Below are 2,713 nucleotides of genomic sequence, written 5' to 3' on the forward strand. Positions count from 1 at the left end.
TGTTGGCCGTTATTATTTTTAAATGAAAATAAATTACAAAATTACGTATTACCCATAATAGATCATGGACCATCAAATGACAAATATCATTTAATAAGATATTTTAGTATTCTCTACATTTGCTTACCAACATGGTGGAATGGAAAGAGCACTAGACCCGATGGTAGGAGTCCTGGGTTTTAGTCCCTGCTCTGACACTAACATGAGCCTTAGACTCTCTGAGCCTTTGTTTCTTCACTGGCAAACTTAAGGATTGGACTGGATGATTTCTAATGATTCCTTCCTGCCACAGGCCTTTTGCACATTCTGTTCTCCTTGGCAGTCTTCCTACCCTGCACAGTGCAGGTACCAATCTTATTTATTCCTTAAATCTTAGTTAAAAATGTCCTTGTTTTCGGAAACTTTGCTTGATTGCCCAAAGTCAGTTTTTCCCTTATATGCTGTTGCAGTGCTCTACCTTCTGTCATTTCTTTTCATGGTTTATATTACATATTTACTTGAACAAATCTTTAATTATTGTTGCTCTTCCCTGCTGAGCTGTGCTAGCCACGAGGGCAGGGACTGCATTTCTTTTAGTTCAATAGTTGATTCACAGCATTCTGCACTTTCTCATGAGCAGGCAATCAGTCAGTATTTATTAAATGAATGGCAATTAACAGTTTATATCTTTTGGGCCATGATAGAATAACAGGACCTAGATTTACCTTATACTGTTAAACAACTGGAAAACTGGACAAAATACAGGAAACAAAATTTTTTCAGACATTGGACAACAGGCAGCACTGGACAATGTTTCCCGGGAAGGGAAACCAGTAATGTGAGCACTTCCATGGCCCCAGCCCCTGCCTACACAGGGAAAGGGAACCCAAGTAGAGCCTGGTGGTCTTGCTGAGTTGAGAAAATTTGTGTGGAAGAGTGCTAGTAAGGAAGTTTCTGCAGAGATTGAGAGAGAGAGAGAGATTGAGAGACAGAGAAAGAGAGCCGTAAGCAGGAAGGCATGAGCTATCTGTGGTCTGAATGTGTCCCCACCCCCTAAATTCATGCATTGAAATCCTTACCCCTAAAGTGATAGTATTAGATGTGGGGCCTTTTGGGAGTTGATATCATTAATGATCAATGAGATTAGAGCTTTTATAAAATAGGCCCAAGGGAGCTCATTCATAACCTTCCTCCATGTGAGGACACAATAGGACACAATAAAGAAGGTGTCATTGATGAACCAAAGAGTGAGCCCTCACAAGATACCAAATTTGCTGATGTCTTGACCTTGGACTTCCCAGACTCCAGAACCATGAGAAATAAGCTACCCAGTTGATGATGTTTTGTTATGGCAATCCCAGAAGACAGAGAAAGAGAGAGGGAGACAAAAGGAGAGAGAGAGACAAAGAGAGCAAAGTGGTGGTGGGGGGATGGGGGAAGAGAGAGAAGGAGAGGCGAGAACTCTGGAACTCAGCAGGAGAGTACTTTCAAATCTTCCTCTGAGAACCGATCTGCATACATGTGTGAGAAGACTACTGACACCAAGAAGAACTGCTGGAAAGACAGGCGGATCAATCTCCAGAGCACACACGGGTCCAGGAATAGCTTATATGCCCACTAGCCAGAGTGGAAAGACCTCCTAATACAGGGGGCATTAGGTTCAGTTCTCAGAAGGGTATTTATCACTAGTGGGGCCATATTACACCTAGACTAAAGGGCACATCCCACAAAGCCTAAAAGCAAACCTCAAAAGTATCAAATGATTCCAATTGACTAAATTGCATCCCAGAAAAAAGCCCCTAAATACTTAAAGAAATATAAAAACTATCAATTAACAGTAACACAATGAATAAAACCTTGGCATCCAATAGCATAAAATTCACCAAGTCCAGCATTGAGTCAAAAATGTTCAAGCATGCCAAGAAGCAGGGAAATACAATCTATAACCAGGAGACAAACAGTAGGAACAGACTGTGAAATATGTCCAAGAAAGGAGAGGAAAAGCATGATTGTGTTGAAGAGAAAAGTGGAAAATATTTTAAAAGACCCAAATTGAAGTTCTGGAGATGAGAAATACATGATCTGAAGTGAAAAATGCGGAATATCACGGATGACATTAACAGCAGATTGGACACTGCAGAAGAAAAGATGAGTGAACTTGAAGACGTAGCAACAGAAACAATTCTAAATAAAACACAAATGAAGAAAAATACTAAAAAAAAAAAAAAAGGAAAAAAAGAACAGAGCAAGAGTGAGCTCTGGGACCATATCAATCAGCTTAACATGCAGGTAATTGGAGTTCTGAAATGGTGACGGTGGGCTGGGTGGATGAGGGGCGATTTGGCAGAGGAAACAGAATAGAAAAAAACCTTTGAAGAAATAATGGCCAAAAAATTTCCAAATTTGTTAAAAATTATAAACCACAGTCCAATGAAACTCAACATACCTCAAGCAGAAATCCCTGTATCCTTCAATAACAAAAGTTATTGTAGAATGTTAAAATGTCGAAATCTCATGAGTGAAGTCTGGGAGATGTCTGAATGTCTCTCCTTACTCTAATTAAAATACACATACCTAGCCGGTTTAGCTAGACCTGTGAGATCCAAAGAGTATCCATTAGCCACATGAAATGAGCATTCAATAAATGCTAGTACAATTGAGAAACTGAACTTATAATTCCATTTAATTTTCGTTAGTTTAAATGTAAAAACTGACACGATTCATTTATTAAAAA

The sequence above is a fragment of the Homo sapiens genome, chromosome 8 (assembly GCF_000001405.40).
Source record: "Homo sapiens chromosome 8, GRCh38.p14 Primary Assembly".
Classification (NCBI taxonomy): Eukaryota; Metazoa; Chordata; class Mammalia; order Primates; family Hominidae; genus Homo; species Homo sapiens.